The sequence below is a fragment of the Homo sapiens genome, chromosome 7, assembly GCF_000001405.40.
Source record: "Homo sapiens chromosome 7, GRCh38.p14 Primary Assembly".
NCBI lineage: Eukaryota > Metazoa > Chordata > Mammalia > Primates > Hominidae > Homo > Homo sapiens.
The window spans coordinates 32,483,286-32,497,339 of NC_000007.14; the positions used below are offsets into that span (position 1 = coordinate 32,483,286).

At 42.2% G+C, this 14,054-nt stretch overlaps 2 protein-coding genes across 18 annotated transcripts in view, besides 5 other annotated features; one reads left to right on the forward strand and one right to left on the reverse strand.

The window, feature by feature from the left end:
* Positions 1-2,052: 2,052 nt before the first annotated feature.
* On the reverse strand, positions 2,053-11,998 carry LSM5 (LSM5 homolog, U6 small nuclear RNA and mRNA degradation associated). Of its 5 annotated transcripts, none has more exons than NR_024466.2 (5): positions 6,740-7,095; positions 5,964-6,059; positions 5,340-5,367; positions 4,400-4,472; positions 2,053-4,008 (listed from the first exon to the last, which is right to left on the reverse strand). NR_024466.2 is itself a non-coding variant. In NM_001130710.2 (5 exons), exons 2-5 carry the CDS (start codon positions 6,016-6,018, stop codon positions 3,976-3,978), a joined length of 189 nt encoding a protein of 62 aa, NP_001124182.1. In that variant the 5' UTR covers positions 6,019-6,059; positions 11,945-11,998; the 3' UTR covers positions 2,053-3,975. The 5 variants fall into 5 exon arrangements, 4 of the variants coding, with proteins under 4 accessions (NP_001124182.1, NP_001132971.1, NP_036454.1 ...); NM_001130710.2 differs by lacking the exon at positions 6,740-7,095 and adding an exon at positions 11,945-11,998; NM_001139499.2 differs by lacking the exon at positions 6,740-7,095 and adding an exon at positions 11,706-11,998.
* Positions 6,998-7,047: an enhancer, noted in NCBI's record as "active region_25825". NCBI's record gives its function as "activates an Ori minimal core promoter by ATAC-STARR-seq in GM12878 lymphoblastoid cells {active_cell/tissue: GM12878}" and the evidence as "EXISTENCE:reporter gene assay evidence [ECO:0000049][PMID:35858748]".
* Positions 11,718-11,927: an enhancer, noted in NCBI's record as "active region_25826". NCBI's record gives its function as "activates an Ori minimal core promoter by ATAC-STARR-seq in GM12878 lymphoblastoid cells {active_cell/tissue: GM12878}" and the evidence as "EXISTENCE:reporter gene assay evidence [ECO:0000049][PMID:35858748]".
* Positions 12,001-12,799: an enhancer, noted in NCBI's record as "NANOG-H3K27ac-H3K4me1 hESC enhancer chr7:32534898-32535696 (GRCh37/hg19 assembly coordinates)". NCBI's record gives its function as "activates a minimal SCP1, AML or CMV promoter by ChIP-STARR-seq in primed H9 embryonic stem cells {active_cell/tissue: H9 hESC(primed)}" and the evidence as "EXISTENCE:reporter gene assay evidence [ECO:0000049][PMID:30033119]".
* Positions 12,018-12,667: a silencer, noted in NCBI's record as "silent region_18078". NCBI's record gives its function as "represses an Ori minimal core promoter by ATAC-STARR-seq in GM12878 lymphoblastoid cells {active_cell/tissue: GM12878}" and the evidence as "EXISTENCE:reporter gene assay evidence [ECO:0000049][PMID:35858748]".
* AVL9 (AVL9 cell migration associated) overlaps positions 12,204-14,054 on the forward strand; it is a 93,238-nt gene continuing 91,387 nt past the window's right edge. For all 13 annotated transcript variants that reach the window (XM_005249668.3, XM_005249669.3, XM_011515227.3 and 10 more), the window contains exon 1: positions 12,204-12,517. In XM_005249668.3, coding sequence (XP_005249725.1) covers positions 12,425-12,517 — 93 coding nt within the window. In that variant the 5' untranslated portion in view covers positions 12,204-12,424. The remainder of the gene's footprint in view (positions 12,518-14,054) is intronic.
* Positions 12,800-13,598: an enhancer, noted in NCBI's record as "NANOG-H3K27ac-H3K4me1 hESC enhancer chr7:32535697-32536495 (GRCh37/hg19 assembly coordinates)". NCBI's record gives its function as "activates a minimal SCP1, AML or CMV promoter by ChIP-STARR-seq in primed H9 embryonic stem cells {active_cell/tissue: H9 hESC(primed)}" and the evidence as "EXISTENCE:reporter gene assay evidence [ECO:0000049][PMID:30033119]".

Consider the following 14,054-nt stretch of genomic DNA (forward strand, 5'->3'; position numbering starts at 1 on the left):
AAAATTAGGCCAGGCACGGTGGCTCACAACTGTAATCCCAGCACTTTGGGAGGCCAAGGCGAGTTGATCGCTTGAGCCCAGAGTTTGAGACCAGCCTGGGCAATATGACAAGACCCAGTCTCTATCAAAAACACAAAAAATTAACCAGGTGTGGTGGTGTGCACCTGTAGTGTGGGAGGATCACCTGAGCCCGAGAAGTCGAGGCTACAGTGAGCCATGACCACTGCACTCCAGTCTGGGTGACAGACCGAGACCCTATCTTTAAAAAAACAAAAAGAGAAAAGATAGCTGGGCATGGTGGCACCTGCCTGTGGATCCAGCTACTTGGGAGGCTAAGGGGGGAGAATCGCTTGATCCCAGTGGTTCGAAGCTGCAGTGAGCACTGATCACACCACTGCACTCTAGCCTGGGTGACAGAGCAAGACCTTGTCTCAAAACAAACAAAAAATGTCCAACATTCTTAAGTTAAATGCCCAAAACAACCTTTCCCAAATCCTTATTCTGTTCAGTCTTAACCAGAAGGGGGTTTGATGCTTAGGTGGTTAAAGTCCTTTCAGCAGCCACAACCCAAGCTGTTACTCATGGGAAAGTAATTTCTTTAGGGCCTCAGAAGTTACACTAGATATGCCTCAGATACATCACTTTTTAAAAATTGAGATGTAATTCATGTAACATGAAATCCACTCTTTTAAGGTTATAATTCAGTGCTTTTTAGTATATTCACAAGGTTGTGCAACCATCTAATCCCAGAACTTTTTCATCACCCCAAAAAACAAACCCATACCCATTAGCAGTCACTAGTATAGTTGTCTATTTCTGTGAATTTGCCTGTTCTGGATCATATAAATCAAATATGTGGTCTTTTGTGTCTGGCTTCTTTCACTTAGCATAATGTTACAGTTCATCCACACTGTAGCATACACAAGTACTTCATTCATTTTAACAGATAATATTCTATTGTATGAATATATCGCATTTCAGTTATCCATCCATCCATCGATGGACATTTGGGTTGCTTCCACTTTGAGACATTAGGAATAATGCTGCCGTGAATGTTCATACAAGTTTTTGTGCAGACATGTTTTTAGTTCTCTTGGGTATGAACTGAGGAGAGGAGTTGCAGGGTCGTATGGTAATTGTTTAACTTTTTGAGGAATCATCAAATTATTTTCCACAGTGCATGCATCATTTTACATTCGCACCAGCAAGGTACTAGGGCTCCAATTTCTTCATATCCCAGCCAATACTTGTTACATTAATTTTTGTACAATTCTTGTTACAATAATTTTTTATAATTATAGCCATTCTATAGCACCCATGAAATGGCGTTTCATTGTAGGTTTTGAGACGGGGTCTCACTGTCACCCAGGCTGGAGTACAGTGGTGCAATCATAGCTTACTGAAATCTCAAACTCCTGGGCTCAAGCAATTCTCCTGCCTCAGCCTCCCAACTACGTAGGACTACAGGTGCATGCACACTACCACACCTCACTAATTTTTTAAAATTTTTGGTAGAGATGGGGTCTCACTATATTACCCAGGCTGGTCTCCAACTCCTGGCCTCAATCTATCCTTCCACCTCGACCACCTACAATGTAGCACTGGGATTACAGACATGAGCCACTGCACCTGGCCTAACTCCTATGATGAAAAAAGGAAGAGCTTGGGTATGACTATTAGCTCCCCTGGGATAGCAAATAATAAAGGGGTGGAAAGAAGCAGGTGTTACATCACTTACTCCCCTCCAAAGGGAAAGAAACAACAGTGGAGGGAAAGCATTGCCCCCAAGAGTTAGAAGCAAAGTGTGAGGCAACCAGCTCATACTGGCTCCTGAGAATCAACTGTCAAATCCTTGAGAATTTTGCAAACCAGTTGTTAAAGCCTTGGTAGCTTGAAATTAGCCAAGGCAGTAGTACTGACAACATGTAAATCAGAGAAAACTACAAATCAGTGCTTTGTGTTTTGGAAAATAAGGTTGGATCCTTTTTCCATGTGGTAATACCAAAATTCCAGATAGATTCCAGATTTAAATCAAACGCAGAAAACATAAAGTGCCCAAAGAAAAGTATAATCAAAGCAAAGGTTTTCCAATCCACGTGGACCAAATACAAAAACCATAATGGACTAGGTCAACATGCAACTACATTAAAATACATCATTTATGTCAAAAATAGCACTAAGTGGCAAACTACAAACTAGGGAAATTATTAGCAAAATACATGACTAACAGAAACCCATCAAGAATTCTTACAAATTAGTAAGAAAAAGACAAACATCTCAATGGCAAAAGCCTCAACAGATAAGTCATTTACAAAATACAAATGAGATCAAAATTAATCAAGAAAATTTTAGGCCAGGCCTGGTGGCTCATGCCTTTAATACCGGCACTTTGGGAGGCTGAGGCAGGTGGATCACTAGAGGTCAGGAGTTCAAGACCAGCCTGGCCAACAAGGTAAAACCCCATCTCTCTAAAAATATAAAAATTAGATGGGAGTGGTGGCGCCCACCTGTAATCCCAGCTACTCAGGAGGGTGAGGCAGGACAATCACTTGAACCTGGGAGGCGGAGGTCGCGTTGATATCGCGACAAGGCACACCAGCCTGACTGGAGGTTGCAGGGAGCCAAGATCATGCCACTGCATTCCAGTGAGACTCTCCAAAAAAAAAAAAAAAAAAAAAAAAAGGAAAAGAAAACTTTAGACATGCCCGGTTTTCTTGTAAAAATGGCAAAGAGGAGAGAAGGTAGAACACAGCTAATGCTGGGAAGGATATAAATGGTACTATGAAAGACTCCTGGCAAAAATATACATTGGCACAAACTTTTTCTTGGCAACACAATATATACCCTTTGATCTTACACATTTTTGAGTTTATTCTAGAAAAATACAAATGTATAAAGATCTAGTTAGACTACTGTGGCCAGTAAGAATAGGCTAAATAATTTATAGTAAATCCATTTAATACTATGTACATATTAATGTTGAAATATTTGACACAGAAAGATATTCACCATTTAAATTCAAAAAATGACTTAAGTGGAGGGTAAAAACAGTATAATCAGGATGAGCAAGTAAAATAAAACGTGTACTGAGAGTGGACTGAGAAAGTCTACGAAGACATACAGCAAAGCATGATCAACCTTCTCCTTTTTGCTTACCTACAATTCTACGATGTGCATATATTACCTGTTTGTTTTTAATAGGAGTTCTTTGACTTAATTTATACAGTTCAATGATCTTATTATCAGTTCCTTGATTTGACCTGAGTCCTGGAGTTCTTAGCTGCTTTTAGTATCCTTTATCTTAAAGCTCTGTCTCCACTCATTTCCTGGCAATTCAGTAATAACTACATTAAGGTAATAACCTTCTGAATCAATTTTATAAGCAAATAGATAAAATTTCTATCTTTAGGGTAATTCCAATAGATAATTCCTGCATTTCTACAATGTGCATATATTACCTGTACATTGTTTGTTTTCAATAGGAGTTCATGGAATTTGAAATCAGAAGAAAAATCCTCATTACAAAACAACAGCATTTTAATTGAATTTTCTAAGTGATCATTTCCGGTTGTTTAAATGCACCTGTTCAAATCAAAGTTCATCATTTTGTTTGGAACAACTTTTGTTTGAGAATCAAATGGTCACGTAAATGACAAAACAAATAAGCATATAATGACAGAAAAGTAAGTGGCAAAATAACTACAAACTTTGTTCCACTGGCTACTGCAGTAGAATAAACAAAATGACAGTTAACCAAAAACACCTTTATTTTCATCTGCAAAGAAGAAGCTCTTTTCTTCTTTTTCCAGGATAATCATGATTAACTTACAAAAATGGGTACACATCTTCAAAGCACTTCCCTTTAACGGGAAACTTAGCTTTATGGGATTTAAACATTAGAAAGTGGGAAAAAAAATTCCATTTTCTTGTCATTATAAGCCAAAACAAAATCTAGTGTAAGTCAAGGAAACTCATTCACACTTCAGGTCCTTCTCCTCCAGGAACCAGCTGCATAAAGAGGAAAAAGAGTTTATTAATAACACTACCACCATGTCATCTAAAAACCCCTTGCTCTTCATTAAGCCACCTTTGCCTGTCCCCTGCACTCCACGTTCCCATTTTCTCCAGATTGTCAGTATCTATTTACAATTCCCAACGTCATCAATTAATACTTACTATCTCAACAGCGATTAAAAGTTCCAAGCAAACTAACCTTTAGACCCAATGCCTCTTCAATAGCTGAGCTTTAGGACCCTGACCACAGAGAACCCCTTTCCCATCTTATGCACCACTGGGCCATGATCATTTAGTCAAGCAAGCAACATTAAGGTTAGTTCTGTAATCACTGCTCCCCAAAAATGGGCTCCCATCAAAATAAAACAGTTTCAATGTGTCTTACCATTGTTATATTATTTCCATTTAGCAAAATCTGATCTAATTTAGTAATCCTTCTTCCTTCTGGTGTGATTTCACTAAATGAATAGATAAAATACAGTCAGGACAAACAGTGAAAATCAAAGCCAACATTTTGGAAATACTTACCCTCCCTAAAAAGGTTATCCTTGTATACAAATTACACTGAGGTTGAGCAATTATATCCACAATTTTCAGATACAAAGGTTATCCACTAGGTAATGTAACCTTCATTAAAAGCAGCAGAATGAACTCACTGACACTAAGACCCACGTCTATCAGACAGAGCTTCATAAAAAGAAGTGAAAGCTTGCCCAGGAAATCAAATATGAAATGAAATGTTTTTTGGGTTTTTTTTTTTTTAAGAGACAGGGTCTTGCTCTGTTGCCCAGGCTGAGTACAGTGGTACAATCATAGTTCACTGCAGCCTAGAACTCCTGGGCTCAAGGGATCCTCACCCTCCAGAGCAGCTAGGACTACAGCTGCCCCCTACTATAACCAGCTAATTTTTAAATTTTTTATAGAGACAGGGGTCTCCCTTTGTTGCCCAGGCTGGTCTCAAACTCCCAGGCTTAATCCTCCTCCTTTGGCCTTCCAAAGTGCTAGGATTACAGGAATGAGCCACCATGTCCAGCCTAAATGCTCTTACTATCAGTTCCTTTATTTGACCTGAACCCTAAAATTCCTGGCTCTTTTTGTTATCTTCTACCTTAAAACTGTGTCTCCACTAATATTCTAGGCGTTTACTAATAATTACATTAAGGTAATAACACTCTGATCCAATTTTACAAGCAAACAGATAAAACGTCTATCTTTAACGTTATTCCACCAAGAGGTAATGTTTTCTCATAAATAATTTTACTCAAAAGTAGTAAAACTGTCTTTAATTAAGAAGAGATTCCCCCCAATTCTTTAACACTACTCACAACTCAGTGACATCTTCCAGTACCATATCTGAAATTTGGTGTTAAGAAAATAAATACAGAATTTACTCTAGCTTCTGCCTTTGTTCAGCTTTTGTTTTTTGTTTTTGTTTTTGTTTTGAGACAAAGTCTCGCTCTGTCATCCAGGCTTAAGTGCAGTGGTACAATCACACCTCACTGCAGCCTCCACCTTTTAGGCTTAAAGGATCCTCCTGCCTTAGCCCCGGAGATTAGCTGGACCCACAGGTGTACATCACCATGCCCAGCTAATTTTTGTAATTTTTGTGGAGACAGGGTTTCATCATCTTGCCCAGGCTGGTCTCAAACTCCTGGGCTCAAGCGATCCACCCACCTCGCCCTCCCAAAGCGCTGGGATTATAGGCGTGAGCCACTGGGCTCGCCTGTTCAGTTTTAATTACAATGTTTAATACAATGGCTCAAATTCAAAATGCTTGTTGTTGATAGGAACTTTACCGTCTTTCAATACATACCTCTTAAAACATTATCATAAGTTCCCTGAGAATGAACTGATTTTTATTATAATAATCACAAATATACTGATTGTCTATAGTTCTTATGTTATTACTTAAGAAAAACCTATACCACCACCACCTTTTAAAAGGATACTGACAAAGTCATCAAATCCTAGAAGAGTACCAACAATTTCCTTATCACTCTTCATCACGATGTGAATTCTTGATCCTATACATTTGTCCACAAGCTCTGAGGAGGGAAAAAATATTATTTTACCATTCATTATTTCAACAAATATTTGAGTGCCTACTGGCACTCTTACTTGCATATAGTGAAAGAAAAACCAGGAAAAACATTCATTCAATAACTTTAGGTCTTATAATACAAATCTCAGTTCAAGCACAGCATCTGGCACATAATGAGCCTTCCAAAAGAGTCTGTGGCATGAAGGAATGAAAACTTTTCAATCACGGCCACGACCACTAGTTCAATCACTCTTCACCAACTACAAAAATATAAGAGGAGATAGGTATAATTATATTCACCGGAAACTCTCCGGTCACTGCTTCCCTTTCCCAACTCTGTCTATCCTCTGTGCTCTGACGGTAGCTTGAACATCTCTTTAGCTAGCCTAGCATTATGTGGCATGATGTCTACTTGTCCAGTGTTCTCTCCTCCACTGGCTTGTGTGCTATTTGAAGGCAATGGCTATGGTTTATCATTGAAAAATGCCCAGGCACGGTATCTAGTGTATAGATACTCAGTTACTACTTATTGAATGAATAAATAACAAACAGAGCTGGTTTCCAGATTCCTCATTTAAGGCTCATTCCGGACCAGGGTGTTAGTGTCACTAACCAACCACATACATAACATGGTCTATCTAATCTGGGGATCGTAAACGCCAGGCTGAGAAGTAGGCCTACTACCTATAACACTGCAGAGGCGGGCTCACAACAAAGTAGGCCGACGACGCGTTCACTAAATGTGGACCTTTTCCAGTGAAGGTCTGGTTTGAGAAGTCAAAGTCCTTGCCTGGAGGAGCCCGACCACGTTAAAGAGCAGGTGCGGCCTGCTGTCGCGAAGACTTGGAGCTCAGAGTCGAACCGCATTTGGTCTTATACATTTCCCCACACTCGGCCAGGGCCTGCCTCGGAACAGCCCCTCGGCCCCCAATCCTGAATGTCAGCTCCCTGTTCCTGCTCCCCAAAGGACGGCGATTACCTAAGGGCAGCAGCTGCGACGGGTTGGTAGTAGCGTTAGCCGCCATGGCTACGCCGGAAGTGGCCTGCCTTCATTGATGGTGGGACGACTTTGAAAAGCGCGCTTCCGCTTTTTCCGCAGCCCAAACAGGCTCGACCAATCTGAGGCCGAGCGCACGATCTAGTCAGCTGCGTGGGTCGCGTTCACTGGCTTTTTTCCCCGGCAAGTGAGATCCGGTGAAATATTTCCTGCCCACTGGACATTTTACCATCTCGGCAGATACCCATAATGCCCTTGAAGTTTTGGAGAGACGTTGAAGATATTTTGCCTTGTGAATAAATTGTTCCTGTAACGTTTGAGTCTTCTTCCCCCGTAAAGTTGCATTTCCTCTCAAGCCAGAATCTTCAAACCAGTATAAATCAATTCGTATTTCCTGCCATCAATTAACTGTTACAATTTTCGTTACAACTACTCATTAAGGAATCTATTGTTTCTTTTTAAAGTCCAGTGGATTGAAAATCTGCAACTAGCATTTTTTAAAATTTTTCTTTAGTGAGGATTTAAGATATGTTTTTTAAACTTTTTACTACTTTAATTCATCGTTCTTATCTTTTTATGTCTGGTAGTCTTATTTATTATAGGCTTTTAAATTCAGTTTCTTCAACAATTCTTGTCTCACAGGCAACCACCAGATGTCACTCTAAATTATTCCAGAAGTGTAAAATCATGCTTTCCACTTCTGTGTTGAAAACAGCAAAGTATCGGCCCTAGTCTGTTTTATATTTGTATCCTAGGAACTTAAACCTGAACAGTCTAGGTCAGGCGCAGTGGTAACGACTGTAATCCCAGCACTTTGGAAGGCCGAGGCGGGCGGATCACCTGAGGTCAGGAGTTCGAGACCAGCCTGGCCAACATGGGTGAAACCCCGTCTCTACTAAAAATACAAAAATTAGCTGGGCGTGGTGGCGTGCGCCTGTAGTCCCAGCTACTCGGGAGGCAGAGGCAGGAGAACTGCTTGAACCCGAGAGGCAGCGGTTGCAGTGAGCCTAGATCATGCAACTGCACTCCAGCCTGAACAACAAGAGCGAAACTCCATCTCAAAAAAAAAAAAAAAAAAAGCTAAACAATAAACATGAGCGGCCACAAAGAACGTCATTCATTCATACAACAAATGGTCATTAAGCACCCATCATTCCTTCATAGACTGAGTTCCTCAAGGCTGAGAATTATGGGAAGCAGTAGTTTACGTGATTAAATTTCTTCATTTTGAATTAAATGACTTTGGTTCAAATTCCATGGTCAGTTATTTGACAATGGGCAAGTTATTTTAACTTTTTAAGTCTCAATATACCCATTGGAAAAAATGGGGACAACAGTATCTACTCATAAGATTAATGTGAAGATTAATTGAGATAATCTATGAAAAGTGGTCAGCATAGGACCTGGCACATAGCCCTTTTAAACATGAGCTGTTATTACTTATCCTTGTTTTCTAATACATGATGTCTGGCTCAGAGTGAAGCTACATAAAGCTAGCATTGCTAGCTGGTTTTGCATTCATCTTATTTTTATAACCAGACATAAGCCACTTTAAGGAAGCAATTTCTTATTTTATACACTGTGCACACTACATTTTCAGGCACACTGTAGGGCGCCTAATGAATATTCTTTAAATTGATTCTCACTATTTCATTCACACCCATCAACATTCTCCTTACTCTTCATAAGATTTTAAATACGAAGTAATGCCAGATTTGTTTGTGACGCTTCTTTCTTTCTCTTTCTCTTTTTTTCTTTTTGTCCAATCCTCATTTGGTTGAAAACCACCTCTTTTCCTGGTTTTCCTTTTCTATTCCTATTTTATTTTCCCCATACCATACTGACAGTATGGGAGAATTCAAAACATTGTTGTTATTTGATAGAGTTTTTAAAAATTAGAAAAATAGGCTGGGCACAGTGGCTCACGCCTATAATCCCAACACTTTGGGGGCCGAGGTGGGCGGATCACGAGGTCAAGACATGAAGACCATCCTGGCCAACATGGTGAAACCCCATCTCTACTAAGAATACAAAAATTAGCTAGGTGTGGTGGCACACGCCTGTAGTCCCAGGTACTCAGGAGGCTGAGGCAGGAGAATCGCTTGAACCTGGGAGGCAGAGGTTGCAGTGAGCCAATCGTGCCACTGCACTCCAGCCTGGCGACGGAGTGAGACTCCATCTCAAAACAACAACAACAAAAAAAAAACAGAATAAACATTAGCAATTTTGAATGCCACTAATAAAGAATAAAGAAAATCTCTTTAGAATCTGAAAAAAGGAACGATATATAGTTCACTTACATAGTAGAGTTAATGGGGATTTCAGGGAGTGGTATTTTTATTATTTTCTCTCCTGAGGCAAGACACAAAAAGGAAGAACAGGCCAATTCCAAATGGAGAGTTGTTATGAACTTGAAAATATGTCATAGCTCTATGTCTCAAGGATTTTTCTCCCTTTAAGTCTTAAGTAGAAGACGTAAAATAGAATTTATAATTTATCATAAAATACATGTAACTACCAAAGGCTCTTCCATGTATTATATGTTCAGAAAGGCATTTCTAATTTTCTCCCTCGAGTTAAATTAGAAATTTTATTATTTTCCCAATAGACATTTGTCCTTGTGGACAATATCTTGTTAATGAATTTATTCTACATTAATACAACTCATTTAAAACATAATGTAAGATGTGCATGGTGGCAGGCAACTGTAGCCCCAGCTACTTAGGAGGCTGAGGCAGGAGGATCCCTTGAGCCCAAGAGTTTGAGGCCAGCCTGGGCAACATAGCAACACCCCATCATATTTTATTTATTAATTTAGAGACAAGACCTCACTCTGTTACCCAGGCAGGAGTACAGTGGTGTGCTCGCGGACTCAAGCAATCCTCCCATCTCAGCCTCCTGAGAAGCCAGTACCACAGGCGCGTGCTACCAAGTCTGGCTATTTATTTTTTATTATTTTTTGTAGAGATGAGGTCTCATTACATTGCTCAGGTTGGTCTCGAACTCTTGGACTCAAGTGATCTACCCACCCTGGCCTCCCAAAGTGCTGAGATTACAGGTGTGAGCCGCCATGCCCCACCTATATTCTAAATTCTTAAGTGGTCCAGTCTGTGTATTTAGAGATGAAAAAAATCCTGGAAATTCCCTTGTTCACTTTCTGTCTCAATTTTCCCAGTAACTAACTTTTTCTTTCTCTCTCTCTCCCTTTCTTTATTTTTTTGAGATGGAGTCTCATTCTGTCATCTGGGCTGGAGAGCAGTGCAGTGACACCATCTCAGATCACTGCAACCTCCACCTCCCGGGTTAGGGTGATTCTCTTGCCTCAGCCTCCCTAGTAGCTGGGATTACACACACCACCATGCCTGGCTAATTTTTGCATTTTTAGCAGAGATGGGGTTTCACCATGTTGCCCAGGCTGGTCTCCAACTTTTGGCCTCAAGTGATCTGCCCGCATCGGCCTCCCAAAGTGCTGGGATTACCAGCATGAGCCACCACGCCTGACCCTCTTTTTATATATATCTTTTTTTTTTTTAGAGGAAATCTCGCTCTTGTCCCCCAGGCTGAAGTGCGATGGTGCAATCTTGGCTCACTGCAACCTCCACCTCCCGGATTCAAGCAATTCTCCTGTCTCAGCCGTCCGAGTAGCTGGGATTACAGGTCTAATTTTTGTATTTTGTACTAGAGAGGGGGTTTTACCATGTTGGCCAGGCTGGTCTAGAACTCCTGACCTCAGGTGATCTGCCTGCCTTGGCCTCCCAAAGTGCTGGGATTACAGGCGTGAGCCACCACACCCGGCCCTTATATACATCTTTAAAAGGTGTTCAATTAGACAGTAATTTTAGCCATGCCAATTGTGGAAAATATCAAGACAGGTTATATCAAGAAAATATTAATAGTTAACACATCACACAGCTGACAGCTCAAAACAGTTAATATATTAAGAAAACAGTTAATATATTCTGCATACAGGGAGCAATATAGTTTTACACAGTTTTCTTAGCCAATGCCAATAATTTTGTAATACAGAAAAGAAATGTATAGCAGCATCTTGAAAAATGTCTGCAGTATTAGCATTAAAACAGTTCTACTGAATCACAGAAACTAAATTTGATTTAGGAAGCCTACTGTTTTTCTCAGCTATGGTTAGATTAGAACAGAGCTCCTTACTTTTCAAGACCAGAAGTGCAAAATATCACAGTTACTGTAGTAATCTCGAATTCTATTTGAAGCAGACACCTATCCTTTAGGTTATTTGAAAACTGTCCTAGATAAGACTTGTTAAATCTTTTCTATAATGCACTTTAAATTGACATGAGATTCACTGCTTAAAAAAGAATTGTAGTACAATCAGTAAAGGAATTAAAAAACCCTGGTGACAACAGAGCCCATATATTTTGTATTGACCAGAGTACTACACCCAAAATGAGATGGAATGAAAAGAATATTCTTATAAAATCGCAGGACTAGAATAATCATTTTACACGTATCCAAGTAAACTTCCTTTGTTGTCAAGGATATTCTGTTTCAGGTTTTAAATGCGTCTCAGATTCCTACACATAATATTTAAACGAAGAAAAAAAAACTCTAGAAAGAAACAAACAAGAATTCTCGAGTAAGCAAGTAATTTAAAGGCTGAATACACAGATACGCAACCTCACCAGTATGCTCCATGTTACTACATATTTAAGAATAAGGACGGGGGCCACAGAGGCAAAGGCAAGGAGGTGAAGGAATCGGACACTCGGAGAGTGAACCGAAAAGATGTGAAAAAGCAAGGAAAACAGAAGAGAAGAGGGAAGTGGGAAAACTTTGAGGAAAAAGAGAAGGCAAAAGAGAAGGAAGTGCTTTGAGATTGAATCCAGGGAGGAAAAAGCAGGTGTGCCACGCCGCACCTCCAGGTCCCGCGGACACCACAGGCTCTGCAAGCCCAGCCGCCCGGGTCACGTAAGCCCCACCCCGCCGCTCCTCGTCAAGTCCCACCCGGACCCGCCCTCCCCCCGCTCCTCCCCCCGCTCCTCCCCGCCCCACAGAGTCGATCTCTCCTCTCCTAGACCCACCCCGCTCCCCCAGGCTCCACCTCGGCCTCTCAGACCCCGCCCCGTCAGGGCCCTCCCGGCCTTGCCCAGCCCTGCCTCGCCGGCGGCGGCCGCCGTGTCAGGTGACAGCCCGGAAGCTGCGGAAGCGGATGAGGGAAGGGCGGCCGTGGCCCTGGGGGCGGCGGGAGCTGCTTTGCCTCCACCGATCTCCCTGTGCGGCCCTCATGTGCTGTGCTCGCTGACACCCGAAGTCCGCGGCTTTCCGCACACGGTGGGGTCGTCAGACCCGCTGCCCTTGGCGGTCGAAGTCGTCGTGCGGGCCCGCGGCGGCCGCCCATGGAGAAGGCCAGGAGAGGCGGGGATGGCGTCCCCCGGGGGCCCGTACTGCACATCGTGGTGGTCGGATTTCACCACAAGAAGGGCTGCCAGGTGAGGAAAGGGCCCGCCCCCGCCCCCAGCCGTTCGGGCGTTCGCCCCTTCCGGGGCCCCCCTGCCCTGCTTCTGTGTGCTCAGCTCGCGTCGTGCAGTCCTCCCCACAGCGCCTGCGACCCTTCGCCTCTCAACCTGACTCCTTTTGCAGCTCCTCCCACCCGCCCCACATGAAGCCCAGCCCCCACAACCTCTTCCTTCTGCCCCTGAAAAATGGTTGAGCAGCGGAGGAGCTGGTTGATACGTGTAGGTTGTAGGTTTTTAACTTCTGCTTTGGTGGAGTGGGAGGAAAGCATCGAAGACCGGCCCCACTCTCTTCCCCGTCCATCATTGTCTCCACTGGCTTTCTGGGTGTCCACCTATAATGGGAGTCTAGAAAAATTCAGTGCTTGGACTCTGCTTTCAAGGTAATAGGCTCAGTGGGCTTGCATACTAATGCTTCAGGTAGCTTGCAGCACATGCAGCCTCCGTAGAAAAATCAGCTTCCTTTGTTTATCTGATGGAAGCCTTGGAATCTCTCCTGTTAGGTACGGTTGTCGATTGACTTTGCCTCCCCCTTCCCATTGGTCCTTAGTTTTGCTATTTCATCTTCTCCAGATTTTGCCTTTTGGTGAGAGATTAATCTCTCCATATCAACCGCAATAAGAGAAAGTGTATTACCAAACCGTTCAAATATAAAGGCGTTTTTCAGCAGCCTCACTGAATCATTAATGCAGCATCTGAAATGGAATATTTGCAATCTATGTATTGAAGGCAAGAGAACAAAATAGAAACAGGATTATTTAATGAGCAAGCAAACACTGGAAGGGAATGATGTCATAATGTGCTAGTGAACAGTAAATTGAAATGCTTTTTTGAAGTATTAAAAATAGTAATTGCCACCACTAGCTAATGAAGCATTTAGTTTCTTGCATTCCACAGGAAATGTAACATTTTAGAAGACTTATTGGCAAAAATTAAGTTCTCTAGGGAATAAGAGAAAAGTGATGGGAGTGAAAAAATCGTGTTTGTGCGTAATTTTGAAATATATCCTCACACCTGGAATGCCAGCACTTTTAGAGACTGATATGAAAGGCTCACTTGAGCCCAGGAGTTTGAGACCAGCTTAGATAACAAAGGGAAACACTGTCTCCACAAAAAAATTAAAAAATTAGTTGCATGTGATAGCGCACTTGTAGTCCCAGCTACTCGGTAGGCTAAGGTGGGAACATCGCTTGAGCCCAGGAGGCTGAGGCTACAGTGACCCTTGATCCCACCACTGCACTCCAGCCTGGGTGAGAGAGCAAGACCCTGTCTCAATCCCAGCACTTTGGGAGGCCGAGGCGGGTGGATCACCTGAGGTGAGGAGTTCGAAACCAGCCTGGACAACACGGTGAAACCCCGCCTCTACTAAAAATACAAAATTAGCTGCGCGTGGTGGCACATGCCTGTGATCCCAGCTACTTGGGAGGCTGAGGCACGAGAATTGCTTGAAGCCGGGAGGCAGAGGTTGCTGTGAGCCGAGATCACGCCATTGCACTCCAGCCTGGGCAACAAG

Coding starts and splice junctions, on each gene's coding strand:
- LSM5 (NM_012322.3), bottom strand. CDS start 7,080: ATGGCGGCTAACGCTACTACCAACCCGTCGCAGCTGCTGCCCTTAG. Junction 6,060..7,034: donor GTCGCAGCTGCTGCCCTTAG/GTAATCGCCGTC, acceptor TTCCCTCCTCAG/AGCTTGTGGACAAATGTATA. Junction 4,009..4,399: donor ATGGAAATAATATAACAATG/GTAAGACACATT, acceptor CTCTTTATGCAG/CTGGTTCCTGGAGGAGAAGG.